At 51.9% G+C, this 27,580-nt stretch overlaps 2 protein-coding genes across 21 annotated transcripts in view, besides 3 other annotated features; both read right to left on the bottom strand.

Annotated features, from left to right (window-relative positions):
- The window catches only part of AKAP8L (A-kinase anchoring protein 8 like), a 38,939-nt gene extending 23,003 nt beyond the window's left edge, over positions 1-15,936 (bottom strand). The window contains exons 1-5 of one of the 3 annotated variants that reach the window (NR_111971.2): positions 15,859-15,936; positions 7,468-7,542; positions 958-990; positions 606-663; positions 423-503 (exon numbers count right to left, since the gene is read on the bottom strand). Coding sequence is in view for 2 of the 3 variants with exons in the window: in NM_014371.4 (NP_055186.3) it covers positions 423-663; positions 958-990; positions 7,468-7,542; positions 15,859-15,871 (362 nt within the window). In the remaining variant the exon portion in view is untranslated. Of the gene's footprint in view, positions 1-422; positions 664-957; positions 991-7,467; positions 7,543-15,858 lie in introns of all 3 variants that reach the window. The other 2 variants (NM_001291478.2, NM_014371.4) reach the window with 2 other exon arrangements.
- Positions 9,744-10,273: an enhancer, noted in NCBI's record as "NANOG hESC enhancer chr19:15523607-15524136 (GRCh37/hg19 assembly coordinates)". NCBI's record gives its function as "activates a minimal SCP1, AML or CMV promoter by ChIP-STARR-seq in primed H9 embryonic stem cells {active_cell/tissue: H9 hESC(primed)}" and the evidence as "EXISTENCE:reporter gene assay evidence [ECO:0000049][PMID:30033119]".
- Positions 10,986-11,487: an enhancer, noted in NCBI's record as "H3K4me1 hESC enhancer chr19:15524849-15525350 (GRCh37/hg19 assembly coordinates)". NCBI's record gives its function as "activates a minimal SCP1, AML or CMV promoter by ChIP-STARR-seq in naive H9 embryonic stem cells {active_cell/tissue: H9 hESC(naive)}" and the evidence as "EXISTENCE:reporter gene assay evidence [ECO:0000049][PMID:30033119]".
- Positions 11,488-11,987: an enhancer, noted in NCBI's record as "H3K4me1 hESC enhancer chr19:15525351-15525850 (GRCh37/hg19 assembly coordinates)". NCBI's record gives its function as "activates a minimal SCP1, AML or CMV promoter by ChIP-STARR-seq in naive H9 embryonic stem cells {active_cell/tissue: H9 hESC(naive)}" and the evidence as "EXISTENCE:reporter gene assay evidence [ECO:0000049][PMID:30033119]".
- A 989-nt stretch (positions 15,937-16,925) lies between the features above and the next one.
- Positions 16,926-27,580, bottom strand: part of WIZ (WIZ zinc finger) — a 29,979-nt gene continuing 19,324 nt past the window's right edge. For 10 of the 18 annotated variants that reach the window (XM_047439178.1, NM_001439244.1, NM_001439246.1 and 7 more), the window contains 7 exons: positions 26,534-27,037; positions 25,058-25,456; positions 23,930-24,481; positions 22,189-22,716; positions 21,561-21,980; positions 21,131-21,326; positions 16,926-20,183 (listed from right to left, as the gene is read on the bottom strand). In XM_047439178.1, coding sequence (XP_047295134.1) covers positions 20,024-20,183; positions 21,131-21,326; positions 21,561-21,980; positions 22,189-22,716; positions 23,930-24,481; positions 25,058-25,456; positions 26,534-27,037 — 2,759 coding nt within the window. In that variant the 3' untranslated portion in view covers positions 16,926-20,023. The remainder of the gene's footprint in view (positions 20,184-21,130; positions 21,327-21,560; positions 21,981-22,188; positions 22,717-23,929; positions 24,482-25,057; positions 25,457-26,533; positions 27,038-27,580) is intronic. The other 8 variants (NM_001439249.1, NM_001439251.1, NM_001439243.1 and 5 more) reach the window with 2 other exon arrangements.

Below are 27,580 nucleotides of genomic sequence, written 5' to 3' on the forward strand. Positions count from 1 at the left end.
CCAGCTCGCAGTGATCAGCCCCAAACGCTCGTCCCACCCTTCACACCAAACTCCATCTGTCCTGCCCTGACACCACGCAGGAGGCAAAGTCTCGAGAGAATTCCAAATGGCTGTCCTTGGAGGGAGGGGTGGCTGAACACTCTGTTTTTGAGGGCACAGTGAAGTCTGCCCAGTCTGGGCTTGTTCCTCTCACCGCAAGCTGGGAAAGGCTGACCACCAGGCAGTGCGGCAGGGGTTGAGGGTGGGTGAGAGGAGACACAAGTCAGAGACGGGAAGTGCAACGGACCCTGCTGGGAGCCACAGCAGCACCAAGCAGCGGGGAGGAAGCAGACACAGAGGGGCACTCAGAGAGGAAAACGCAGTGGGCAGCAGGCAGGAGCCGCCCCTGCAGAGTCTCAACCCCTAGGCAGGTGTCCACTCACCTTTCTCCACCTGAGCCGTACACGCCTCCTTGCATCATGTCTGTCTCCAAATGCGGCACCATATCTAAGCGCTGGTTAATTCTGGATAAAACGGAATCGGCACTGGCGCTACCCGAGGCACTAGTGTTTGCATTTGTGTCAGAGCTAGGCATTTCCCAAGAGTGTGAAGTGGCCATACCATACCCATAGTTGGTGGTGTTATCCTGGCCATAGCCATAGCCATAGCCATAGCCCTCGTAGCCTGCAGTGAGGGAGACAGAGACAGACAGATGGTGGGGGCAGGCAGAGGGGAGGCAGACAGAGACAGAGACAAACACAGATACAAGGGTATCTTCTGTCACAGAGAGAGAAGACCCTAGCCACTGAAGCTAGATGGGCCCTGGTCATTCTGATGAGGGCCTCCTGTTAAGGAGTAGGTAACCCCAGAAACATGCCCCCTCCCCACTCCCAACCTTGGCCAAGCAGGGCAGTGGCAGAGAAACACAGCCAGGACAACCCCAAGGGACAGGACAGCAATCACAGGAATGACACTTGCCTCTATTTGTCCCAGAGTTCCAAGTTCCATATCCTACAAAAAGTAAAAGGGCAGTTACATCTATACTTGCTTACAATACAAGGCCATAATTCAGGCGCAGACAATTATTCCCAGGACCTGACTGGTCAGAGCAGGCTGCACCTCCCCTAACCGAGAAGCCTTGAGCTCGCGAGCACTGCGCAAATGACCCAGGCCACTTGCTGCCCTGGTGCCTGGCTGCCTGTGGCTCTGAGCATCTGTTATTTAAGGATCCTTCTGTTCCCAACACTCTCAACTAAGGAACTTGGCTCCTATACTCCTCCCTTTAAGAGCCAGAATTAGAAGGTGACCTCCACACCCCAAGCTAAGTGCTAATCAGTTTATAGCAGAAAACCCAACCCCAGTCTCCCAAGAGTCTGCCTTAAAAGGGAGGGCCAACAAGCCCTTGAATTGTTGACTGTGCTGTGCTGGAACACATCAGTGAGAGAAGCCCAAGAAGCAACCCCTCGCTTGAGAAAAGCTGTGGAGAGAACAATCTGGATTATCAACTTAATATGCTCTGGATTCAATCACAACACATGATAAAACCTCATTCCTTCAGTAACATAAAGCCACTGAGAAGTGACAAAGTGTAAAGTCCCCTGGGAACTCTGAGTCAAACACACAGTTCCTCCCCAAAGGAGGGCACAGAGCAGGTGACCCCTTTCCCTGGGTCTCTGGTGAGACCCAACAGTTGTTTCCCATTCCATGTCATCTCTGCCCCGCAGAGGACATGCTCATCCCAGGGCAGGGGACCGAAGCTCAGTGAGACAGACAGCAGGGCAATAAGTGGCAGAAGCCAGACCACAGCAGGAAGAGTGTAAGTCAACTGAAAAGATGAGCCAGAGAGAACAGGCAGGCTGTCGTCCTGCACTTGGGTTCCTCCACGACCCAGTGCACAAAAAGAATGGGAAGAAATCAGAGAGAAGCTGAGGAACTGCTGATGACCACTATGTTTAACAAGAGAGCTCACAAAACAAAAACTCTTGGGCTGGAGAAACCAAAACAGGCTTCTCATCCATTTGTTTATGTATCCCCTGAGCACAGGGAACAGAGGCTTGCAGTCCCAGGCACTGCTCAGGCATGGAGATCTGCCTGTTGGTAAGAGAGATGCTAACAGCCAGAGAGCAGCATGGGTAAGTCAGGAGTGGTAGCTGAGGAAAGAATGGAGCCATTCTAAGAGGCAAGAGAGGCTGGCAGAGCCACATAAAGAAAAACACACAAGGCTGGGTGCAGTGGCTCACGCCTGTAATCCCAGCACTTCGGGAGGTCGAGGCGGGCGGATCACCTGAGGTCAGGAGTTTGAAACCAGCCTGGCCAACATGGTGAAACCCCTTCTCTACCAAAAATACAAAATTAGCCAGGCGTGGTGGTGCACACCTGTAGTCCCAGCTACTCAGGAGGCTGAGGCACAGTTGCTTGAACCCAGGCGGCAGAGTTTGCAGTGAGGTGAGATCGCGCCACTGCACTCCAGCCTGGGCGACACGGTGAAACTCCATTTCAAAAAAAAAAAAATAGAACAACACACAGGTAGCCCAGGCAGCTACTGTACACCTGGCCAAGTGACTGTTTGTACCAGGGACAGTGGGCACTAGCTATTCTAAAGAAAATAGGAGTTGGGCGTGGTGGCTCATGCCTGTAATCCCAGAACTTTGGGAGGCCAAGGTGGGTGGATTACGAGGTCAGGAGTTCGAGACCAGCCTGGCCAATATGGTGAAACCTCATCTCTACTAAAAATACAAAAATTAGCCAGGTGTGGTGGTGCGCGTCTATGGTCTCAGATGCTTGGGAGGCTGAGGCAGGAGAATCACTTGAACCTGGGAGGTGGAGGTTGCAGCGAGCCAAGATTGCACCACTGCACTACAGGCTAGGCGACCGAGCGAGACTCTGTCTCAAAAAAAAAAAGAAAGAAAAGAAAAAGAAAATAGGATATGGAGGCAAAAGCAGATCCATCAGGGCTCTGCTTGGGAGGCTACAATGTGGTCACTGCAAGCTTCACCTGCTGAGGATCTGCCACAACAGAGTGAGGAGGCACAACGAAAGGAAGCAGCATCAACTCCGTGAACACCACTTTACGTTTTAAGGACAAGCAGGGCCTCCCACGATGGGCAACTCTCAGGAGTCCCTCCAGGCAAACACTCACTACATGCCACTTGCTATGCCTGGAGCAACCCAGACTCCTTGATGGACATCCCAGCTGGGTCCCTTCAGGAGGAAGCCTTCATCTAGACTGGCGTTTAGGGACTCCCCAAGACCTGCCCTTTCTGAAAGAACACCCCAACTCATTTCCATCCCCAGAAGGGATGAGATCATGGTTGACAAAAGAAATTTTAAGGAGAGAGAGAGAGAGAGAGAGAGAGAGAGAGAGAGAGAGAGATCCTTAAAATTTATATATTTATTATTATTAAATATATACATATATATGTAAAAATAAGATATATGTACATATATATTTTTGAGATAGAGTCTTGCTCTGTCCTCCAGGCTGGAGTGTAATGGTGTGATCACAGCTCACTGCATCCTCGACTTCTTGGGTTCAAGTGACTCTTCTGCCTCAGCCTCCGGAGTGGCTGGGACAACAGGCATGTGCCACCATGCCCAGCTAATTTTTTCTATTTTTGTAGAGATAGGGTTTTACTATGTTGCCCAGGCTGGTCTCAAACTCCTGGGGGCTCAAGCCTCCCATCTCAGCCTCTCAGAGTGCTGAGATTATAGGCATGAGCCACTGCACCTGGCCCCAAGGACATAATTTTTAAAAGAAAAAAGGACATGGTCACAGTATGTGATATTTATGGACCAAAAATAGAAAACAATTTAACACTCAACTTTAACGTAATAGTTAATCAGATTACACCTACCTACTCGGTGACATATCATGTAAGCATATAAAAAGAATTTACTATGCCTTATGTGGCACAAGGAAATGCTTCTAACATAAAATAAAGCAGGACCAGCCAGGCGCAGTGGCTCACACCTGTAATCCTTTTGGGAAGTGGGGCAGGCAGATCGCTTGAGCCCAGGAGTTTGAGACCAGCCTGGGCAACATAGCAAAACCCCATCTCTAGAAAAAATACAAAAAATAGCTGGGCATGGTAGGGCATGCCTGTAGTCCCAATTATGCAGGAGGCTGAGGTGGGAGGGCTATCTGTGCCCAGGAGGTGGAGGTTGCAGTGAGCTGAAATTGTGCCACTGTGCTCCAGCCTGGGGGACAGAGTGAGATCATATCTTAAAAAAATAAAATAAAATAAGAGCAGTACCCACAATTCTATCCACCTATAAATTATTAAACTACACAAAATCAGTAAGCTGATAAAAATTAAACATTAATATGGTAGGATCTTGGTTGACTGTTTTTCAAAATGTTATTTAAATGTTATATTGTTCTTGCAATTCAAGCCAGAAGGAAAAATAAATCCATCTCTATTCTTTCACAATTGTGTATGTAAAAAAATCTCAAACAAATCTACAAAAGAGCTACTAGAATAAGTGAGCTTAGCAAGGTTTATTACAAGGTCAATCTGTAAGTCAAATTTCAAATATTACAAGGTAAACCTACAAATCAAATAGCAATCAAATTTCTATATATCAGCAATGAATGGAAAGTTTTTAAAAGTACCATTTCCTATAGCACTAAAAGCATGAAAAACTTGGCGTAAATCTAACAAAGTATGTGTAGGATCTGTGTTGAAAACTACAAAACACTACATCAGTGAAGTGACATACTGCACTCATGAATCAGAAGACTTGATATTGTTAAGATGTCAATTTTCTCAAACTAATCTATAGATTCTACAGATTTGATAGATCTATAGATCCAAGGCTCTCTCACTCAAAATCTCAGCATGAATTTTTTAAAAAACTTCATAAACTGATTCTAAAATTTATATGCAAAAGCAAAGAAACTAACAATTTTGGAAAAAAGAACAAACCTGGAGGACTCATATTTCAAGATTACTATTAACCAGTAATCAAGACTGCATTGCTGGGCGAGGCGCAGTGGCTAATGCCTGTAATTCCAACACTTTGGGAGGCCGAGGCAGGTGGATCATGTGAGGTCGGGAGTTTGAGACCAGCCTGGCCAACATGGTGAAACCAGTCTCTACTAAAAATACAAAAAGACCGTGCTGCTGAACGAAATTTAGATGTACAGACCAATGGAACAGAATGAGAGTCCAAGAGTCCAGAAATAGACCCACAGTATATGGTCAACTGATTTTCAGTAAAGGTACGAAGGCAATTCAATAGAGAAAATATAGGCCTGGCACAGTGGCTCACACCTGTAATCCTAGCACTTTGGGAGGCCAAGGCGGGTGGATCACCTGAGATGGGGAATTCAAGACCAGCCTGGCCAATGTGGTGAAACCGTCTCTACTAATAATACAAAAATTAGCCAGGCGTGGTGGCACATGCCTGTAATACCAGCTATTTGGGAGGCCAAGGCACAAGAATAGCTTGAATCTGGGAGGTGGAGGTTGTGGTGAGCTGAGATCGCGCCATTGCACTCCAGCCTGGGCAACAAGAGCGAAACTCCATCTCAAAAAAAAAAAAAAAAGAAAGAAAGAAAGAAAGAAAGAGGCCGGGCGCGGTGGCTCACGCCTGTAATCCCAACACTTTGGGAGGCCGAGGCGGGAGGATCACGAGGTCAGGAGCTCGAGAACATCCTGGCAAATACGGTGAAACCCCGTCTCTACTGAAAATACAAAAAGATTAGCCAGGCGTGGTGGCGGGCAACTGCTCGGGAGGCTGAAGCGGGAGAATGGCATGAACCCAGGAGGCGGAGCTTGCAGTGAGCTGAGATCGCGCCACTGCACTCCAGCCTGGGGGACAGAGTGAGACTCTGTCTCAAAAAAAAAAAAAAAGAAAGAAAAAATGGTTTTGTTTTTGTTTTTGTTTTTTAAACAAATGGTGCTGGAACAATTATATATTTATATGCCATAGAAGAATAAGAAACCTTAACCTATACTGCACACCTTGTAGAAAAATTAACTCAATATGGATCACAGACTAAATGTAAAACCCACAACTAAAACACCTAAAAGAAAATTCTAAAGAAAATATTACAGATTTCTTAGATATAAAAGCAAAACCATCATCTATTAAAGAAAAGATTGAATTGGGCTTCAAAATTAACAACTTGTGTTCTTTCTGACACAAGACAAGACACACTGACAAGAGAATAGACAAGCCACAGTCTGGGAGAAAATATTTGTAAATGGCATATCCGAGAAATGGCTTGTACTCAGAATATGCAATCCAGAGGGAAAATAATTCAAAAGGATGTGCAATTAGGGACTACATTTGATGAAAAGGGAGAGGCAGGGAGGGCAGCACAGGGAAGTCAAGCAAACCAAGTTTCTCCTCATTTATGAGACACCTGATACCTTCTCACTCAATTTCAAAATATTTTAAGTCTTCCCTTTTCCTGGGACTAGCTGCTGTTACTTGGGGAGCTTACTTAAGTCTCTTTATGCAGTGACCCCTGAAGGCATGTTAGCTGTGTAGGATCAGTCTTTCCCCAGATCTTGGTAGTAAAAGAAATTACCCATCTCAGTAACTAAGACATTATCCCTGTTAATTCCAAAGAGGGCTCCTTCTCAACAGATACCCCTAGAGTCACAGACAACCAAAAACCAGCTTTAACAGCAGTCCGGGCTGCCACAGCACACAAACAAAACAGCATCTGTGAATCCTACTGGTGGCTACTTCTGAATTAGCTAATTAGGTGTTTCTGTCCACGCTGGAAAACTCAATCAGAGATCTTCACTCAACTCTGTGTGTGTGGAGCCTGCTGGCTTGAGGTGGCCTGGCTGAGTCTCCAAAAGCTGCCAGATTCACACACTCAGCCTCTCTCCCACAGCAAGGACATGCACTATGCTGGGACTAAGTTAATAGCTTGCTTTCTCCTGGACCAATCCTTTGGACTTTTTTTTTTTTGAGACAGAGTCTTGCTCTGTTGCCAGGCTGGAGTGCAGTGGCATGATATCGGCTCACTGTAACCTCTGCCTCCCGGGTTCAAGTGATTCCCCTGCCTCAGCCTCCTGAGTAGCTGCGACCACAGGCACACACCACCATGCCCGGCTAATTTTTTGTATTTTAGTATAGATGGCATTTCACCATGTTGGCCAGGATGGTCTCGATCTCCTGACCTCAAGTGATCCACCCGCCTCGGCCTCCCAAAGTGCTGGGATTACAGGCAGGAGCCACCGCGCCTGGCCTCCTTTGGACTTTAATTGGCCACTGTGACTCCCAGTCCCTCCCCCATGGGGATTTGAAGCCAGGCCTTTTATCAAAGAGCCTAACTTGCTCAGGAACACAGCTACTTTTCCCATAATTGCCTGAAAGGGAAGCACTAGCTATTCAAATGGCCACACCATTTCACACAAGTTTAGGTTTAAAAAAGCATGACAGGGTGACAGCAAAGCCAAAGGCAACTAAGAAGACAAGGAACTGCTCTGCAGAACACTTTGGTTCCCACCAGAAGTCCACACTTACCATAATCACAGGTGGGCTGAGCGCTGGTATCCGAGTATGTCGACTGCAAAGTGGTTTCAGATCCCTGGACAAAGCCTAAACATAAAGACAGTGGGGTTAATTTCCACAAGCAAGTCACAGGGAAATGACCTGAGACTACCTAACCTTTGGTATAGGATTGCCAGCAGGCCCTTCTCTCAACGAAAAGCCACCAAAACCTCTAGATTCCACAGTTTAATTAGACCGTCAGAAAATATTACCCAATGGAAAGGCAGGCTATGTTTAACTTGCTATACCAGGAGGACTAGATTAAAAAATTATTTATTTACTTTTTAAAAACAAGGTCTCACTCTGTCCGGGCTGCAACGCAGTGGCATGATCACGGCTCACTGCAACCTCGACCTTCCAGGCTCAAACAATCCTCCTGCCTCAGCCTCCCAAGTAGCTGAGACTATACGTTCGTGCCATCATTCGCAGCTAATTTTTATACTTTTTTGTAGAGATGGGGTTTCATCATGTTGCCCTGGCTGGTCTTTAATTCCTAGGCTTAAGCAATCCACCCTCCTGAACCTCCCAAAGTGCTGGGATTACAGGTGTGAGCCACAGAGCCTGGCCCCAAATAAAAATTTTTAAACATTTAAGCCAGTAGCCTATTTTGAGAAATGAACACCCAAGTTATCATTCTGTTAAATGAGGAAACTATTCAAATCCCTGAAGGGTGAGCCACTTGGAATTCAAACAAGGATGGAGGTTAGCTTCAAAACCATGTTAAAGCAAATAATACCCCCCTCCCTGTTCTAAATCTGAAACAGAAACTGCTTTTTATTTTGGTTTTCCCATTAAAAAGTGTGTATAACAATTATAACAATTATTTCTGGGCCGGGCAGTGGCTCATGCCTGTAATCCCAACACTTTGGGAGGCCAAGATGACCAGCCTGGGCAACAGGGTGAAACCCTGTCTCTACAAAAAAAAAAAAAAGCCAGCTGTGGCAGCATGTGCCTGTAGTCCTAGCTACTTGGGAGGCTGAGGTGGGAGTGTCACTTGAGCCCAGAAGGTCAAGGCTGCAGTGAGCTATGATTGCGCCACTGCATTCCAGCCTGGGTGACAGAGCAAGACCCTGTCTCAAAACAAAAACAAAAACAAAAAACAATTATTTCTTAAAAGTAATTATTTGGGGTGGCATGGTCATATGGAAATAAGTATTATTATATATACATAAAATTTCCTATCTTCTCAACTTTCAAACTATTTCTCAACATAAAATGAATTAGGGCTGGATGCAGTGGCTCATGCCTGTACTCACAGTACTTTGGGAGGCCAAGGGGGGGTGGACTGGTTGAGGCCAGGAGTTCAAGACCAGCCTGGCCAACATGGTGAAACCCCATCTCTACTAAAAATACAAAAATTAGCTACTAAAAATACAAAAATTACAGGGCACAGTGGCTCACGCCTGTAATCCCAGCACTTTGGGCGGCCGAGGCAGGTGGATCACGAGGTTAGGAGTTCGAGATCAGCCTGGCCAATATGGTGAAACCCTGTCTCTACTAAAAATACAAAAATTAGCTGGGCGTGGTGGTGTGTGCCTGTAGTCCCAGCTGCGCAGGAGGCTGAGGCAGGAGAATCGCTTGAACCCAGGAGGCAGAGGTTGCAGTGAGCCAAAATCATGCCACTGCATTCCAGCCTAGGCGACAGAGCAAGACTCCGTCTCAAAACAAACAAACAAAACCCCAAAATTAGCTGGGTGTGGTGGCACCTGCCTGTAATCCCAGGTTCTTGGGAGGGTGAGGCAGAAGAACTGCTTAAACCCAGGAGGCGGAGATTGCAGTGAGTGGAGATCGTGCCACTGCACTCAAGCCTGGGTAATAGAGCAAGACTCCATCTCAAAATAAATAAATAAATGAAATAAAATAAAATGAGTTAGTGCCAAGTAAGGAAAACTTCTACCTCTATCAGAAACCAGTGCTCCTACAGACTATGACTGATGCTAATCCTGACACTTGCTTTAAAACTACATTAAAAAAAGAAAAAACAACAACTCTACAGTTAGAAATACATATATATTTTTTTGAGACGGAGTCTCGCACTAGGTTGGAGTGCAGTGGCACGATCTCGGCTCACTGCAACCTCCACCTCCCGGGTTCAAGCGATTCTCCTGCCTCAGCCTTCTGAGTAGCTGGGACTACAGGCGCGTGCCACCATGTCCGGCTGATTTTTTTGTATTTTTAGTAGAGATGGGGTTTCACCATGTTAGCCAGGATGGTCTCGATCTCCTAACCTTGTGATCCGCCCGCCTTGGCCTCCCAAAGTGCTGGGATTACAGGCGTGAGCCACTGCGCCCGGCCAGAAATACATATTTTTGAATAATTTTCTCTCAGCACTGAAATTACGACAGATACCATAAGAGGCAGTATTTGCCTTTCCCATCAGAGCCAACTCATGACCTGAAAATTAAAGCCTATGCCTTTAACAGCTTGTTTACATCAAAAACCTACAGAAGTGCCTTCCCCCTGGGTAAGCGTTCTCTTATTTGTTGACAGTGTCTCTATTTTATCTCTTAAGACCACAGCAGCAGCAGCCAACAGCAAACAAGTGCTTTCCCTGCAGGGTGCTAAGAACATTTATCTGCAATGATCTCATTTCATCCTCACCACAGACAATAAGGGCAGGTGGGCAAGATTCCTTACTCTGCAATTCCCCCAGGTCCAAAAGGGTCTGAACACCAAGTGTTTTCTACCAGTGTGGTGCCAAAACTCACGCTGGAGCTGTTTTCACCTGTAAGGACATTTATAATCTTTCTTTGTCCTACTTAGTGCAGAATTAATCTATTTAAATACAAGGTGCTTCCCCAGACCCCACGTGACTTCTCTTAAGCTAGAATTCCAAAATACATCTAGCTCCAAGGGTTCCAAAGACGGAGCTGTGAACCCAGCTTCATCTTCACTTTCCAGAGTAGGGACTGGGACTTGAGGCAGGATAAAACCGAGGGTATACAGATCCAGTCTTCTACCTTCCCTAAGTAAAGAGGCTAGAAATCCATTCAAATGGATTCCTTCCAGGGATCTGGACCTTCCTGAGATGCCTAAAATCCAGGCATTGTTGATTAATAGCTGTCCATAAGAAACACTGAGAGCAGCTTTGAAGAGTTCACCCAGGGGAAAGCCTTATAATGTAAGGAATACCCAGCCCCTGCGGTCTCCACTGTTTGCTCAACTGGCCTCTGGAAACTTGTTCTTTCAGCAATTGGGCCACCAGTAAAATGGCCTCAGACTTTAGGTAATGTGATCTGTGAGTACTGCAACTGCAAATGACAGCCTACCACACCCTCACAAGATACAGTCAGCAAGCTGCTGAGCAAAATATCTGTGTCTGTTCAGGCGAGAGGGGCCCTGGTGCTTCCCTAGGAAGGAAAGACGATCCATCAAACCCTCCAAGATCAATGGCAATCTCTGCTCTAACTCTATACCCTGCACCACATTAACATTCTGTTCCACAATACCATCTGCAAAGATCGCAGAGCAGGCCCTTCTGTAGCCAGTTTTGGCTCCTATTATGAATAATTCTTTTTTTTTTTTTTTTTTTTTTGAGACGGAGTTTCACTCTTGTTGCCCAGGCTGGAGTGCAATGGTGCGATCTCGGTTCACCGCAACCTCCACTTCCCAGGCTCAAGCGATTCTCCTGCCTCAGCCTCCCGAGTAGCTGGGATTACAGGCATGCGCCACTACGCATTTTGTATTTTTAGTAGAGACGGGTTTTCTCCATGTTGGTCAGGCTGGTATCAAACTCCCGACCTCAGAAGATCTGCCCGCCTCGGTCTCCCAAAGTGCTGGGATTACAGGCGTGAGCCACCACGCCCGGCCTAAATTCTTAGCTGGTTTGTAAAGTGTTCTCTTGGTACAATTTATCAGCCTGATTAGCGCTGGTTGAAAAAAATAAAATATGCCCTATATGGCCCTATAAAGCTAAATGTTAGATCACAGATTTCTTTTTTTTTTTGTTTGTTTGTTTTTGAGACGGAGTCTCGCTCTGTCGCCCAGGCTGGAGTGCAGTGGCACGATCTTGGCTCACTGCAAGCTCCGCCTCCTGGGGTCACGCCATTCTCCTGCCTCAGCCTCCTGAGTAGCTGGGACTACAGGCACCTGCCACCACGCCTGGCTAATTTTTTGTATTTTTCACAGAGATGGGGTTTCGCTGTGTTAGCGAGGATGGTCTCGATCTCCTGACCTCGTGATCCGCCCACCTCGGCCTCCCAAAGTGCTGGGATTACAGGCGTGAGCCACCACGCCTAGCCCACGGATTTCTTTCTTTCTATTTTTATTAGAGACAGGGGGTCTCACTGTCATCCAGGCTGGAGTGCAGTGGCACAATCACTGCTCACTGTGGCCTCAGCCTCCGGGGCTCAAGTGATCCTCCTACTTCAGTCTCCTGTATAGCTGGGACTATAGCCACGCACCACCAGGCCCAGCTAATTTTTGTTTTCTTTTTCTTTTTTTGTTTTGAGAGACAGGGTCTCACTATGTTACCCATGCTGGTGTTGAATTCCTGGGCTTAAGCAATCCTCTCACTTTGAGACCATGGATTTCTAGTTCTGCAGCAACACTCCTTGCTTTTAACCAATCTCTCGTCAACTTTTTTTGCTCAAAAATACAAAAGCAGGCCAAATGCTGTGGCTCATGTCTGTAATACCAGTACTTTGGGAGGCTGAGTTGGGAGGATCACTTGAGCCCAGGAGTTCAAGACCTGCGTGGCAACATAGTGAGACCTCATCTCAGAAATAAAAAATTAGCCAGGCATGGTGGCATGCACATGTAGTCACAGCTACTTGGGAGGCTGAGGTGAGGTGGGAGGATTACTTGAGCACAGGAGGGCGAGGCTGCAGTGAGCTATGATTTTGTGCCACTGCACTCCAACCTGGGCAACATAGTGAGACCCTGTCTCAACAAAACAAAACAAATGCTTCTCAGTTTTATACTTTTCCTTTCTCCTTTTTAAAAAAGAGTATATATTTTCTTGAGACAGGATCTTGCTCTGTTGCCCAGGCTGGAGTGCAATGGCATGATCATAGCTCAGCAATGTTGAACTCCTGGGCTCCAGCAAACCTCCCAGTCAGCCGGGCGCAGTGGCTCATGCCCGTAATCCCAGCACCTTGGGAGGCCAGGGAGGGCGGATCACAAGGTCAGGAGATCAAGACCATCCTGGCTAACAAGGTGAAACCCCGTCTCTACTAAAAATACAAAAAATTAGCCGGGTGTGGTGGCGGGCACCTGTAGTCCCAGCTACTTGGGAGGCGGAGGCAGGAGAATGGCATGAACCTGGGAGGCGGAGCTTGCAGTGGGCCGAGATGGCGCCACTGCACTCCAGCCTGGGTGACAGAGCAAGACTCCGTCTCAAAAAAAAAAACAAAAAAAAAATCCCAGAGTCTCGCTGTCATCCAGGCTGGAGCACAGTGGCACAATCATGGCTCACTGCAGCCTCAACCTCGCAGAGCTAACTTTTTTATTTTTAATTTTTATAGAGAAAGGGTCTTGCTATGTTGCCCAGGCTCATCTCAAACTCCTGGCCTCAAGCAATCTTCCTGCCTCGGCCTCCCAAAGTGTTGTGATTACAAGTGTGAGCCACCGTGCCTGATCTAAAAAAAAAAAAGAGTCTTATTTGAAGGAGTAACACAGAGTACCAAAAATTAAAAGATAACTGGAATTAGGTTAGGTTGCCTTCAATCTTTATTATCTGAGCCAAGAGTAGGGTGACAACCATCCTCAAAGATGGTCTCCATTCCTGCCTCTTAACGTTATGTAGATCCCTCCCAACTAATAGAGCTAGCCAGTGCAACCAATAAGATTTATGAAAATGACTGAGTGTGACTTCTGGGATTTTCGCCTTGCTCTTTCTGGGATCATTCAGTCTGGAGAAAACCAGCCACCATGTTGTGAGGATACTCCAGCAGCCAGCCCTAGGGAGAGATCCATGGGGCCAAGAATTATTGGCCAGCATCAGCCTGCCAGGCATGGGAGTTTAAGTCACCTTGGAGGTGGGACCTCCAGCCTCAGTCAGGCTTTCAGATGACTCTAGTCCACATAGAGATCCTAAATGTAACCTCATGATATTCCAAGCTAGAACCACCCAGTGAAATCACCTATCCATTCCAAACATAAAGAAACTGTGTGAGACAATAAATGTTTCTATGACAAGTACAGTAGCATTTCAGACCTTTGTTTGAGGGCCTGATTCTGGATATTTCTGTGCTGTTTACCACTGCTCTCCTCTTCCCCTCTCAGTGCTAGAGATGCAGCTTCCTTTCCCACGTATAAATAAGGTAACAGGGTTCAAAAGCAGGGCGAGTTAATAAAAAGATTTATCAGTCACCTTTTATGTTTAATAATGCTAACATTTGCTTCGAGGCCTCTAGGACTTACCCTTAAAGCTATTAGTTGTCTGAAATGTGAATTAAAATGCCTTTGACTTTAGTGCCCTACTTCTTAAATAAGGGGAAGACTCACATTGTAAATTACTGTGGTTTTCAGTTTATCAAGATAAAGGAAAAACTAATCATTACTTTTTTAGCTTGGCTATCTCAGTGCCCACCCAAACCCAGAACTACAGCCTACAAGACCTAGAGCTGGAATTCAGGTTTGGTCATTAGTGACCTTGTATCTCAGTTTCCTCATCTATTAAAAAAAAGAGCTCCATTACTCAGCTACCCCACAGCACCCAACCATTCATCTTCTGGTTTCTTCAAGAGTCCTGTTTTTAAAAACCATGAAACTGTCTTCCAGTTCTTGGTAAGACTTGGTGAGAATTATATTCCAATCCCAGGGATGTCAGTAACAACCCCATAGTCTTTCCTCCTGAACTAGGAAAGCTACAGAAAGGCTCTGGCAGAGCTGCCCAACTTGGGCACTACTGATGTTTGACGCCAGATACTTCTTTGCGGTAGGTGTCATTGTGTATACCGTAGCAGGGCAGCATCCCAAACCTCCATCCACTAGATACCAGCAGCACTCCCACTCCCATATGTGACAACCAAAAATGTCTCCAGACATTGCCAGATGTCATCTGGGGCAGAATCACCCCTGGATGAGAACCCACTGGGCTGGGGGATGGTTGCTAGAAAAACTGGGGTTCTTGGAAAGCTCCTGACCTGGCAGCCAGGGTAGAGGGGACTGGCACTACCTTCTTGCCTATGCCAACATAAAGTGGTCTACAAAGGAGCCCCACAGACTCACGTTGCATTCTCAGTTCTCAAAATTCCAAGTAGAATGCAGGTTACCTGGCAACCACACACGCTCAAGCCTATAATACCCTCACCAAACAGGGAGGCCTAGTGTAAGTCTCCTGGCCGAGAAGCCTCATCAGTCACTGCCAAGGCAAACCCAGGAGGCCTTGGCAATTCACCCAGTGATGATTTACAGTCGCCCAAGCATATTGCGGGGGGCGGAGAGGGGCTCTCGGATCTGTCACCCACTCTCCCTTTCAAATCCCATTGGCCTCCCACTGGCCTCCCTGGCTGATCTTCTAACAAGCCAGGCAGTTCCTGCCCGTAAGCCTTTTACAGCAAAAGCTCCCTGGGCCAGATATCTTTATTCGCTCCCTCCATTTAGGTCTCTGCTCAAATGTCACCTCTTTACAGAAGGCTCCAACCACTCCACGTAGTGGAGCGACCCCCGCACGGTACTGACCACCCTAAAATATATCCTACACTCGCTTATTTGCCTATTAAGATCCTCGCCTCTAAGCTGCTTGAGGAATTCTTGTCTGTATTCCCAATACCCAGTCTGTACCGGACACGGTTCATTTGACAGACGCAGAGGGAATTAACATGGAACCTTGTCATTCCTTGCAGTTCAGCCCCTAGGGGCCCAAGGCTCCCCGCTCAGCCCAAACCCTTCCAATATTTACTTATCCCCCTAGGGCCTGGCGCCTTTCCCAGTTCTGAAATAGACAAAAGGGGGTGGTGGGTGGGATCGGGATGGGGGTGTAGAGCTGCGGCGTTTTTGCAGAGAAACTGCGCGGGGGAGGACGCGACAATGGCGACGGCAGCCGAGCCTGCTGCCTGCTCGCAAGGACCAAGGCCTGAGAAAGGGAAACCTAAGGCGTCGAGGTCCAGGAGCGCAGGCCAGGGACGGAGGTGGTGGGGGCGGAGACCTCGTGCGCTGAGGCCCGGACCCACGGACACAGGCGACAGAAGCCAAGACATCAGGCGGCCGGGAGCCGGGACGCCGGCTGCAGACACAGAGAGCTGAGGCAACGAGGCGTGAGGGCAGCGACCCTGAGGCGACGGGCCAGCGGCGCCATTTTGTGACCGCAGGGAAGGCAGTGACGGGGCCCCAGGGGAGGTGCGGGCAAGCCTGGTGCGGCATCCGCACGTCCCTGTCCCATCCCCCACGCAGAGCCCGACCCCACCCTGCCAGGCCCACCTGTGTAGCTCATGGTGGCGGGCAACACAACATCCGACGACGCCGGCTTCTGCTGCTCTGAACATCCGACGCTGCGATAGCTGCTGCTAACCACAGGGTCCCCTCCACACACACCCGAGCCCCGCCTCCCGACCGCATTGGCTCATACCGGCCTCGGCTTCACGTCTATTGGAAGGAACCGCTGTCTATCTCTATGCCTCCTCATATCAGTGGCTGGAAGCTGCTGGCAATCTCGTGAGAGCCCCGCCTTGTCCCCGCCTTCTGTTATTCTAAGGCCTCAGTGATTGGCCTACAGAAGCCGGCAGAGAGGCGGAGTCCTATAGAATTTGAGGGGGCGGAGCTGTGCACTACGGAAAGGCCCAAGGCCCAAGCATGGTCGGGCTGGAGGAGCGCCCGTACCCTGGAGACCCGCCAGAGGGAGTCGGGTCTACGGCTCAGGGCAGGGCTGGGATGCCAACTCCGCCACCGAGGTGCTGGGTAGGGGACCTAGCTAAGTCTCTCAAATTCTCTGGCCTTCGGCTCCAAAACAAGCATAGCAAAGCCATGTTGAGAAGAGAAAATTAAAACAGCACCAAACAAGATGCTGGACACACGTTTCAACATTACGTGACAAAGTGTGTGTAAAGAAATCATTCTGGTGCCAGTGCACTGAATAAATGTGATTAATCGTAACAAAACGATAATATATTTATATGGCATATGCTTATATGTGTAATAATTCCGTTTGTATTGTGTGTCATTCGAATGCTCCTTCAAACCTGCAAAAAGCTTTTAATCCTCACTTAAAACTGAAGCTTGGAACTCATGATTTGCTCAAGGTCCTTGACAGTTACGTGTTAAAATGGGAGCTTTGCTTCTAAAACCCTCCTGATTCACTCTGGGCTCGAGAGATCCTGCAATAGTGCAGCCGGGCACCAGTCATGTCCTCAGTCTGTTTCCTGGGCATATGGAAACCCTGCCAGGGACAACTCATAATTTCTAGAGATGACAGAGCTGCACCGAAGAGTACTTAACACGTGTGTTTGTGAAAACTCATTAAGCTGCGCAATTACGACTTCTACGCTTCGTGTGTTTTAAAACTTTTTTTAAGGTATGCTGTTTCTTTTTGATATTGTTGATTTCTTTAGGTGTAATAGTGGCATTTACAACGTTGAGAGAAACATACTGAAATACTAAGAAGTTAACTGATCTTATGGCCAGGATGTGCTTCACACAATTCAGACAGGTAGAGAGAGGAGGAGGAAGCAAGGAGCTATAAGATAAATCTCTGACAGCTGAAGACATTGGTCATGGGTTGGTGATGGATAGATGAGAGTCCATTTTACTGTTTGCTCTACTTTTGTATAGTTGGAATTCTCCATGATAAACTGTTTTAATAAAACTCCCCCCACCCAAATGAGGCTTCTGCAGAACTTGCTGCCATACGGAACAAAGCCACTTCTGATGTGTTAAGTGAGCAAACTCCAAACATGAAGCAGAGATCTGACGGATAAGCACTCTGGCTTCGGGGTTCATCTCCCCATCAGCCTCAGGGATGCCTGCCTGTCTTCCAAACCAAGGCAGGGCCCCAGGACACGTCTTCTGCGCCCTGCAGGTTCGTTCCTTCATCGCACTTGCCACAGTCATCATTGTACCGATTTGATTTCGTTCACATCCAACACCCTCAGAGACCACGGCTCAAAAGCTGAGACTTTGCTGCCTGAGGTGTATTGAAGTGGCTTGAGCAGAGAAGAGCAATGCTCAGAAAGTTTTAGGAAAACATCCCCCTGCAAGAACTGGAGGTGACTCTTCCAAGGACACACATGACCCTCACTTCACTGCATGATTGGTGGGGAGGAACTTGCCATATGACTTTATAAGCTCTTGTATCATTTGACTGTTTTTTGTCACATCTAGCCTATACCACTTTTATATTTCAAAAACTGACTTACGGGCCGGGCATAGTGGCTCACGCCTGTAATCCCAGCACTTTGGGAGGCTGATCACTTGAGCTCAGGAGTTCAAGACCAGCCCGGGCAACATGGTGAAACCCCCGTCTCTACAAAAATTACAGATATAAGCCAGGGGTGGTGGTGCATGCCTGTGATCCCAGCTACCTGGATGGCTGAGGCAGGAGAATCACTTGAACCCAGGAGGCAGAGACTGCAGCGAGCCGAGGTCCCTACACTGCACTCCAGCTTGGGCAACAAAATGAGACCCTGTCTCAAAAAATAAAATAAAAAAATAAAAACTGACTTATGAAAAGTTGAAAGAGGAAGAAACACCTTTGAGTCAGCTCACAAGATGCTCTCCCTGCTTCCTAAGTCCTGGATACATCCACCCACCCACAGCACAGGATGGAGAGAAGTGGTTGCGGCCTTCTGCCACCAGGCGAGATGTGCGTCCTGACCCCACAGGAGCAGACGTGTGGGCCAAGACCACCCTTGTGGGCGTTATTGCAGCCTGTTAATCCCTCCTTCCCAGGAAGGGGTATGGTGGGAGGGCCCAGAAAGCAGGGCTGGGGGTAGAGGTGGCCCCTTCTGTCCACACGCCATGAGGTCGTTCCCACTCTCCAGCACTTGACCGTTTAGTAAAAACGATGAGCTGAAAAACCACATGCAATAAACAAGAAGGAGCAGCCAACAAAATCTCTTAAAATCTCAGAAATGTTCAATAAACATTTGCAGAGCGAGAAAATAAATAACATCGCAAAGGAGCCAGTGGCTCCTCTTTTCCCCGCATGTTCCTTGGGTCAGGGGTGCATGTGTCTCACTAGAAGTCACATGTATTAAAAGCAGGTGAGTTCCAGCTCTCTACAACCCCACTGGCCCCCACCCAAATGCTCCCAACGGGTCCCTGACACCCTCGCTGGTAGCTCCTGCCTTTGATAAGCTCCTCTAGCCTCAACTGCTTCTTGATCCTGGCTCCCTTCCCAGACAGGCTGCCCAGAACCCTGGTTCATCTGCTCACTGGAGCCGCTTTGCCAGCCAGCCAGAGACCCCCTCCCAGCCATGGCCTAAAGAGCCAACAGCTGGGAACTTGGGCTCATCCCCAGCTGCGTCTGGTCGGCTTGGCGGCCAACTGGAAAACCCAGGGCCTCCATGGCGCTCTGGACAGAGGAGGCCCCGATCCCAGCCCCGGCTGCCAGCCAATGCCAGCCTGTCCACTTGACAGAAAAACACACGCTGGCCGCCTGCCCCAGGGTGTTTCCAGAAGAGAAATTTAATCTAATTTACATACTTCTAGGTACATCGATAACCAAAATGTGGCCACTGAAAAAAGTTAAAAGGTCAATCAGCTCCTGGCTTCTAGCTGGCCCAGGATTGCAAAATAAAAAGATCCACGTTCCTTATTCTCTACACAAAACGCGTTTTTAAAAAAGTGAAAGGTCTAGGGAGCTATACATAGAAAGCAACAGTGAAAAGGGAGAGGGAGCAGGAGTGGGGGAGGAGAGTCCCACCCCCCAACCCCACCCTCCAGGGCCCCAGAGCCCCTGAGGCTCTTTGGGGGGCCTTGACATGGCAGGAGGCAGCTGTCAGCTCTGAGCTCTTCCCAGCTGGGAAGGCCCCTCTCGGGGGCAGCCAACAAGGATTTCCGTGGCATTGTGGGCTCAGTGGGGGGCTCCCAGGCCCCAGCAGGCCCCACAGAGGGAGCGTGGCTTCCCCTGAGCAAGCACCGTGGCATGATGTGGTCGTTCAACCCAGGAACTGGGGGTCCGGGGCAGGTCCCGGGTCTCACGAGGTGCGTGTTGTGTGTGTTCGCATGTACATGTGTGTGAGAGGATATTCATGGGGGAGAGAGGGAACCAGAACAGGGGTCTTTGGGGTCTTTGCAAATGGCCACGGATGGCAGACATCGCCCTGCCTGGCTGCTAGACGGGGGAGTGCTGTCCTCCCCTGTGACCAGACCGGCTGCCATCAGAGACCTGGCTGCTGCCCCTGCTGGACCAGGTGGGCATGGGCTGAAGGAAGACACCCTGTGGCCCCAGAGTCCTCGGGCTGGGGGAAGGGCAGCTAGCTGGCTCCCGGCGCCCTGGCTGTAGTGTGCCCGGCCCCCAAGGGGCGCCGGTTTGAGGTTTTGGCTTGCTCCTTTGGAAACGGAAAGAAAGAGGAAGAGGGACAAGGACACAGAGGAGGAAGAAGAGGAGACAGAGGTGGCACGAGAGGGGATCTGGAATGCTTTTGTGTTAGGGAGCCTCTGCCGCCGCTGTCTGTGCCTGCGGGGCCTGGGACTCCTCAGGTGGGGGGTCCGCTTTGGAGAAGTTCATCTCCAGGATGTGCCGCTGTAAGTGCCGCACCCACTCTTCCTGGATGGAGAGGGGGCCCTGGAATTCCACCTCACAGAACCTGCATGGGGGAACAGAGAGAGGGAGTGGCCAGTGCTGTGAGGAGAGGCGGAAGCATAGCCTTGCCAGCATCCCTGGGCACACCTGCTGCTACTCAGTGTGGACAGAGCCAGCCCAGGAGGCGGGGGAAGAGGGACCCAGAAGTCAGGCGTTTCCCATGGACAGCCACCTCCACTCACCATGGGGTCATGGCAGGGTCTCACAGAGACCCCTGCCTCTGTGCTCAGAAGTCACTGGTGCCAGGTAAGGGCTACTGGCTTCCAGGTACCCCTGCCATCTGGCAGATACATAGAATCTGAGACAGTAGAGGGCACAGAGAAGCAAATCCTACCCAACGCACCAAGCCCCCCACCTCCTCCTGTCTTCCTGGCACCTAAAAAGGCCTCACAGCACAGAGGCCTGGAGCCCAAGCTCCATGGCTCAAGACGTGGCTTTGACTCTGACTTCTGACTTGGCCTGTATGGCCTCAGGCAAGTCACCTCACGTCTCAGAGTCCCAGTTCGCTGCTCTTCAATGTACTTGTGGACTTTGGTAAGAATTAACTAAGATCTACTTTTTTCTTGAGCCAGACACTAGTTGAGTGCTTACTTACCATGTGCCAGGCAGTTCTGAGTGCTTTATAAATATTAAATTCACTTACTCCTCGTAACAAATCTGTAAGGTAGGTTTGTTATCAACCCGCTTTTATGAGTGAGGAAATTGAGGTAAGGAGCAGGTAAGTCCTTCCCTGAGGTCACTAAGCTGGTAAGTGGCAGAGTTGGGATTTGAACCCAGGTCTCGCAGGCTACAAAGCTCAGGGTGTCAGCCTTTAGCCTGAGCCCCACCACACCCAAGGGCAGCCACTGAGGCGACACCTCCCAGCTTCCACCAAACCCTATCCTGTTCCAAGGCTCCGGGTGACCAAGGTCCACTCAGGTGGTCTCCCTCCCTCCCCCAGGGGCAGCCTACCTGCATTTGAGGGTGTAGATGTTGCCCACGAACTTGACAAGTGATGTCTGGGGGGGCCGGGGCACCAGGGAGGGGACTGGCCGGACTCGGGGTGGGGGTTGCCGCACCTCCTCCAGCTTCTGCTGTAGGTCATTGGTGTCCTCGCCTCCCCGGGCTGCGGAGGCATCTGGAGGGCGGGCTTGTCGGCGTTCAAATTCTAAGGTGGAGAGGGGGACGGGAGATGAGTGGGAGGGGTGGATGCTGCAGAGACTTGGAATACACAAGAGCTGAGGACTGATGCTACCTGGATGGGTGGGATGGGGGATGGATGGGTGAATGGGTAAGCAACTGGAGAAAGGACTTAAGGGCCACAGCAGAGCGCCTGGGGAGTGGCTGGGTGGGCCTGACAGGTGCCCGCTGCGCTCCCGACCCTCCTCCACCAAGCACTCACTGTTGATGTTCTGCCGCTGGTGCTCCTCAGCCTTCACGGTGCCTGGCGGGCTGGCTGCCAGAGGCCGCTCACCACCGTCGGCTGCCCGGCCAGCCTCGGGCCCTGGCTCCCCTCCGGCACTGCGGCCGACCACGGCCAGGCCCCCGGGTGCCAGCCCCAGGGACGGCCGCTTGTCACTGTCACGGCCATGGCCGGCACTGCGGAACTTCTTGGTGAAGGGGCGGCCGCCCTGGATGTAGCTGCGGTAGGCGCCCACCTTCTGGGGCCGGTGTTTGATCCACTCGCTCAGTGTCTCGATGGGCGAGCCATTGACGCACCACTCGGTCACGCCGAACTGCCGCAGGTGTGCCCGTGCGTGGCTGGCCAGGGCCTTGCGGTTTTCAAAGTAAAGGCCACACAGCTCGCAGCAGGCCTCGGTGGCTGCGGGGCGGAGGGGGTGCTGCTGAGTCACAGCCCAAAGGGGGCAGGTGCACCCAGATGGCCCTGCCCAGGCCAGGTGCCAATCCCGCCTCCCACACAGACCCAGCCATGGGGGCCCCACTTGGGGTCAGTGTGCACGCTTGTGGCATTGCCTGGCCTGGCAGGCCCTGGCGGTCGCCCTCCCAGGACCCTGCCGCCCGCTGCTTACAGGAGTGGGAGGTCTTCTCATGAAGGGTCTTTGCCTTGAAGGGCAGTTCAGTCTGGATGTAGGTCTTGGCCTTGACCTCTGCTGGGAGGAGGCGGTCCTCCTGCAGGGGCCGCTTGGCTGCCACTGAGCCCAGGTAGCCAGTGGCTGAGGGCTTGGCCCCAGTGATGGGCGTCAGGCTGAGCTCACGAGGAACCTGGGCCGGCCCTGCACCTGGTTTGCCTGGCCGGCCAGCCAGGGGCGACAGCGGCAGTGGGGACTGCACGGGCCCAGGGGCCACGGTGGGAGGCCCGTCCTCAGCCAGGGCAGGGGCCAGGTCTCCAGCCGGTGGCTCCTTCTTGATGAGGCACGGCTTGGACTTCTTCTTGAGGATCTCTCGCAGTGTGTCGATGGGCGAACCATTGACGGACCACTCGGTCACACCCATCTGCCGCAGGTGTGAGCGCGCGTGACTCGACAGGCCCTTGCGGTTCTCGAAGAACTCGCCGCAGAACTCACAGCGGATGTCGCGCACCGGCTCTGCCCGGGACGCTGCAGGGGATCCAGGGTAGGGGGAAGGAGGAGGAGGAGGAGGAGGAGGGAGGAGGAGGGAGGAGGAGGGAGGAGGAGGAGGGAGGAGGGAGGAGGAGGAGGAGGAGGAGGAGGAGGAGGAGGAGGAGGAGGAGGAGGAGGAGGAGAAGGAGGCGGCGGCTGCGGGCAGGAAGCCTCCAAGCTCAAAGCCCCCGTATCAGTGCCAGCTGCCTAGCTACCCCTGTCCACACCACCCACCAGACCGCAACAACCTGCTCCCTCATCTGGGCTTCCAGAGGCCCTTTTAACATCTGGCTCTTCTGCTTGTTCTGTCACTTCAAATTCTAGCTGGCTTCAAGATACCTCCCTGTATGATCCTGGGCAAGTCACTTTCCCTCTCTGAGCCTGTTTCCTCCGCTGCAAAATGGAGATGAAAACCCCTACCTCCCAGTGTTACTTTGGGACGGTCTAAAATGGGAACAGCTCTCAGCATGGGGCACAGAGCTGGTACACAACACACGTGAGCGCTAAGGCACAAGCCTGGGCTGCCCTCACCTGCTCAGCACACAGTGGGCATCCAATCAACCTGAGCAGAATGAACACAGTGCTGGTGTGACAGGCAAGCGAGCAAGTGACATTACAATGATGGCATACAGAGTTTTCTGTAACCAGGTGCTGTGCTAAGTGCTTTATCCCACTTAATCCTCAAGAAAACCAGACAGAGTTGGGACTATGCTGATCTCCATCTTCCAAATGAGGAAACTTGCCCAAGGTCACATAAAGCTAGACTGTGGAGGAACAGAGATCTTAACTCACACTTGACTCCCAATGTCAAGCACTTAATTACCAAAAATGTCAGAAAGACACAGTTCAGACGTTCACTGCCAGTCCCTACGCTCCTGCTGTAGCAGACATCACTAATGGATCCCCGCAGTCTTTCTCCCTAGGAGTCTGGCTGGCAGCCACTACCAATCGATTGAAATGGCACAAGAGATGGAATCTTTCTGCTGTCACTGAATGACACAATCCTGCTTCTCAAATGAATAAAGGACAATTGAGCAGCAGCTCAGTTGCAGGGGTCTGCATAGCAGGAATACACAGCTAACCCTGTGTCCTCTCTACCTGCGTGTCCTCCCTTCCAATTCAACCCTAGGCACTCTGGATACCCCCAAGGGGAGGCAGGGAGGAGACCCCTCCAACTGTTCTCCCTGCCCTACTGCAGGGTCACACTTACACAGGTTCAGGGGTGTCATGTCTTCCCGTGGTGCCCCCCAGGGACCCTCAGATGGGTGCAGTTCCCCATGAAGGGCCCCCGGCAGCATCTCCCGCTTGATCTCCACCCGTATTTGTTCAGGCTTCAGCTTCTTGGGCAAGGAGGGTGCAGCCAGGCCTGGGAACATCTTTCGGGCCGTAGGAGGAGGAGAGGCAGTTGGTGAGTGGCCCAGGGGGCTGCCCGGTGGTGGTGGCAACTTCTTGGCCAAGGGTGAGATGTGAAGGTCCGAGGGGCTGCGGGCTTCCAGTGAGCTGCCAGGACCTGCGCCGCCCATCATCTTGGCCAGGGCTTTTGGGCTTGGCCCTGGTGGGTTGGGAGGTCCACCAGGCCGAGACTGGGTCCGTCTCTTCAGGATCTCCCGCAGCGTGTCGATGGGCGAGCCATTGACGTACCACTCGGTCACGCCCATTTGCCGCAGATGGGAGCGCGCGTGGCTCGAGAGGCCCTTGCGGTTCTCGAAGAACTCACCACAGAACTCGCAGCGGATGTCTCGTGCTGGCTCTGGGCCTGAGGCTGCAGCAGGAGGAGAAAGGGGCAGTTAGCATCGTGGAACTGCCAGCATGGTCACCTGCAGGAGTGTCCTGGTCGGCTGGGCGTGGGCGGCAGCAGCACGCCCACAGGTTAGGGTGGTGAGGGCAGGTGCAGGTAAGGGAGTGGAGGAGCGGGGCTGGGGGCCAGATACCCGGCAGGAGTGAGGGGAGGCTCCAGAGAGCACATGGGCCCTCAGTCCTGGCGGAGGAGGATGGAACCAAGATTCCATTGCTCTGTGGGTCCCAACAAGGACAGGGTGAGGCAGGGAGGCAGCCTAGGTGCTATGTGCCATCCAGACAGGGGCAGATGTGGGTGCTCTGCACACTAAAAGGCAGGATCTCCCCACCTTGGCCTTCATTCTCAGGAAGGGTCATGGAGGTCAAAGGCCAAGAGAGAGGGCCTAGCAGCCCACTGCCAACAAGATCTCTGGGCAGAACCGGCCCACTGCCAAGGGCCCCTGTCTACTCCCTGCCCCAGCAGGGAGGGGGCTGTGACCCCCCCCCCGGGAGGGGCTCCAGGGCCCGCAGTGAGGAGGGGGCAGCTGAAGCGAGAACCTACAGAGGTTGAGAGGAGACGGCTCCACATCAGAGGCCCAGAAAATGCCGGCGGCTGCGGCGGCCGAGAGGTCCTGCTTCCCCCAGGGGCTGGCCATACCCGCGGCCTTCAGCTTGGCCTTCTTGGCCGGCGGTGGGGGGGGAAGCAAGGAGAGGGCCGCGGAGGTGGGAGGCGGCCGCCCCGGGTGGGCCAGGGCGCCGCGCCTGGGTGGGAGGCGGATCTGGACGCCGTCCCTCCTGATGAGCCCGTGGAGCACGTCTATGGGGGATCCCTTGGCGTCCGGATCGCTGACGCCCAGGTGGCGCAGGTGGGCACGGGCGTGGCTAGACAGGCCCTTGCGGGTCTCAAACCAGGCACCGCACAGCTGGCAGTCCAGCTCTCTGCCCCCGTCACTATCTAAAGCTGCGGAGACAAAACACAGGGGGGGTTCACGGCCGCCACCTTGGCCGGCCTTGGGGGCCTGAGGTAGGAGGGTCTGGTGTGATTTTTGGCTGCTCAGGCAGTTGGGGGGTCCAAGACTCAGGCCGCAGATTTCTTTTGAAGTTTGGGAAGCAGGACATCCTGTTTCCTGCCTAGCCCTTTGGCATCGAGGGGAGTGTAGAGAGCTTAAGGACTTTGGGTAGACAGGCAGTGACCAAATTCTAGGTAATCAGATACTCCCAGACCCTCTCCCCTAGGATCCCTGCTATGGGAGCTATTTGGGGGCGATGGTGGCTGCTGGGCTCACGCAGCCAAGGGCACACCTGCTCAAGGCCCTGCCCCTGGAAGCACGGCAGACTCAGTGGAAGCAACTTCAAGGGAACATAAGGTGCCAAATGGGGGGCTCCATTGGGCAGGGGGTGAGACCCTGGGGTCACCCCCAGACTCTAATGTCCACAAAGATATGGGAAAGCCTGATGTTGTAAGGGACGTCCTTGTTAAACCTGCTCACTGCACCTGGAGGGTTTCTTCCCAAACCCTGCCTGCCGTGCCCACAGGCAGCCCAGGAGGTGGGGCTTCACCGGCAGGCGCAGAGAGCTGCCTCTGCGTGGTGGACAGCCAGGAAGACTTGATGACAGGACCAATCGTGGGCACCTCCCATCAGGTGATCCCCTGTCTATCCAAGATGCTTCCAACTACCACTGAGAAAGCTAGGCCACAGGAACCCTGGTTACCTTCACCGCCCCTACCCACAGGCCCAGAGAAAGCCAAGAGCTGCCCCTCAGTGGCGAGCATGACCCTGGCAGGCTCATCAGCCGCAGTGAGGCTTTCAGGGGAAGATCAGCAAAGTAAAGTGGGAGGCACGATCCACATCCAAGGCGGCCCAAAAGGAGATGCAGAGGCTTGACCAATACTCTGGCCTGGCTGGCCCAGGACATGGGAGCTGTAGTCCCCACCGCCCCCACCCACCCTGGGCCCTGTCCCTGGGCTACAGCCCAACCTGAGGTCCCGACCCTCCCAGCGCCAGAACCTCCCTCGGCTCTTGGGACCCACACTCACTGAGGTTCAAGGGCCCCTCATCCTCAGACTGAGGCCACTGTGCCTTTGGGGAGGCCGGCCGGGGGCTCAGGGACAGCTGGGGGCTCTTGTCCTCAGGATTCTTAGGGGTAGGGGAGCCCGCCAGGGCCAGTGGTGTCTTTTTGAGGAGTGGAGAGCTGGGCGGGTGGCCCAGGCCCTTGGCCGAGAAGCCGGGAGGCGACTTGATGGCTTTGTTGACAGCAGGGGCATCCAAGGGCTTGGCCAGGCTGAGCAAGCCGGGCCGGGGGGCCCCGGCGACCACCTCCTTCAGTGAGCTGGACTTCTTAGCCAGGCCTGGGGGCAGCCCAAGGTGGGCGTCAGGCAGACCCTTCTGCTTCACAAGCTCGTAGAGGAGGTCGATGGGTGCGCCGCTGCTTTCCGACTCTGCCACTCCCAGCTGCCGCAGGTGGGAGCGCGCGTGGCTGGACAGGCCCTTTCGGGTCTCAAAGCAGGCACCGCAGACCTCGCAGGTGGTCAGGCTCTGGGCTGAAGGGCAACACAGAGGCCGGGAGAGCAGGCTGTGAGGCCCACGGCCCAGCTCTCCCGCTTCTCCTCCCCTGAGAGTCCCACTCACCCAGGCTCCATGGAAGTGTTTTGCCTCCGTCAGGCCCCCCAAACCTCACAATGACCCTAACAACGCAGAGAATAGCTTGGCTGCTTTGCCAATAAGGGTTAGAAACTGAGACTCAGAGAGGGAAAAGTTGTGCCCAAGGGCACACAGCAGGAGATAGAGCCCTTCTGTCATCCAGCCAGTGGGACACCTTTCACAACCTTTCAGGCCTACGGGGTGCCCTGGCAACAGGTTCACACAAACGCTGACCTGACAGCCACATGCCTCACTGAACTAAGTTCTAACCACCCTCTGTGGCTCAACTCCTGCCCGAAACACTGGTCCTTGCAGTCTCCTGCACCCTCTTCCACAGAGCCTTTATCCTTGCCTATCTGCTTCTCTGTCTCCCCGTTCCCCAACTTGAATGGCCCTCAAGAGCAAGGGCCAAATTCATTTTGCTCCTCTCACCTCCCTGGAGT

This window comes from Homo sapiens, chromosome 19 (genome assembly GCF_000001405.40).
Source record: "Homo sapiens chromosome 19, GRCh38.p14 Primary Assembly".
In the NCBI taxonomy this organism is placed as follows: Eukaryota; Metazoa; Chordata; class Mammalia; order Primates; family Hominidae; genus Homo; species Homo sapiens.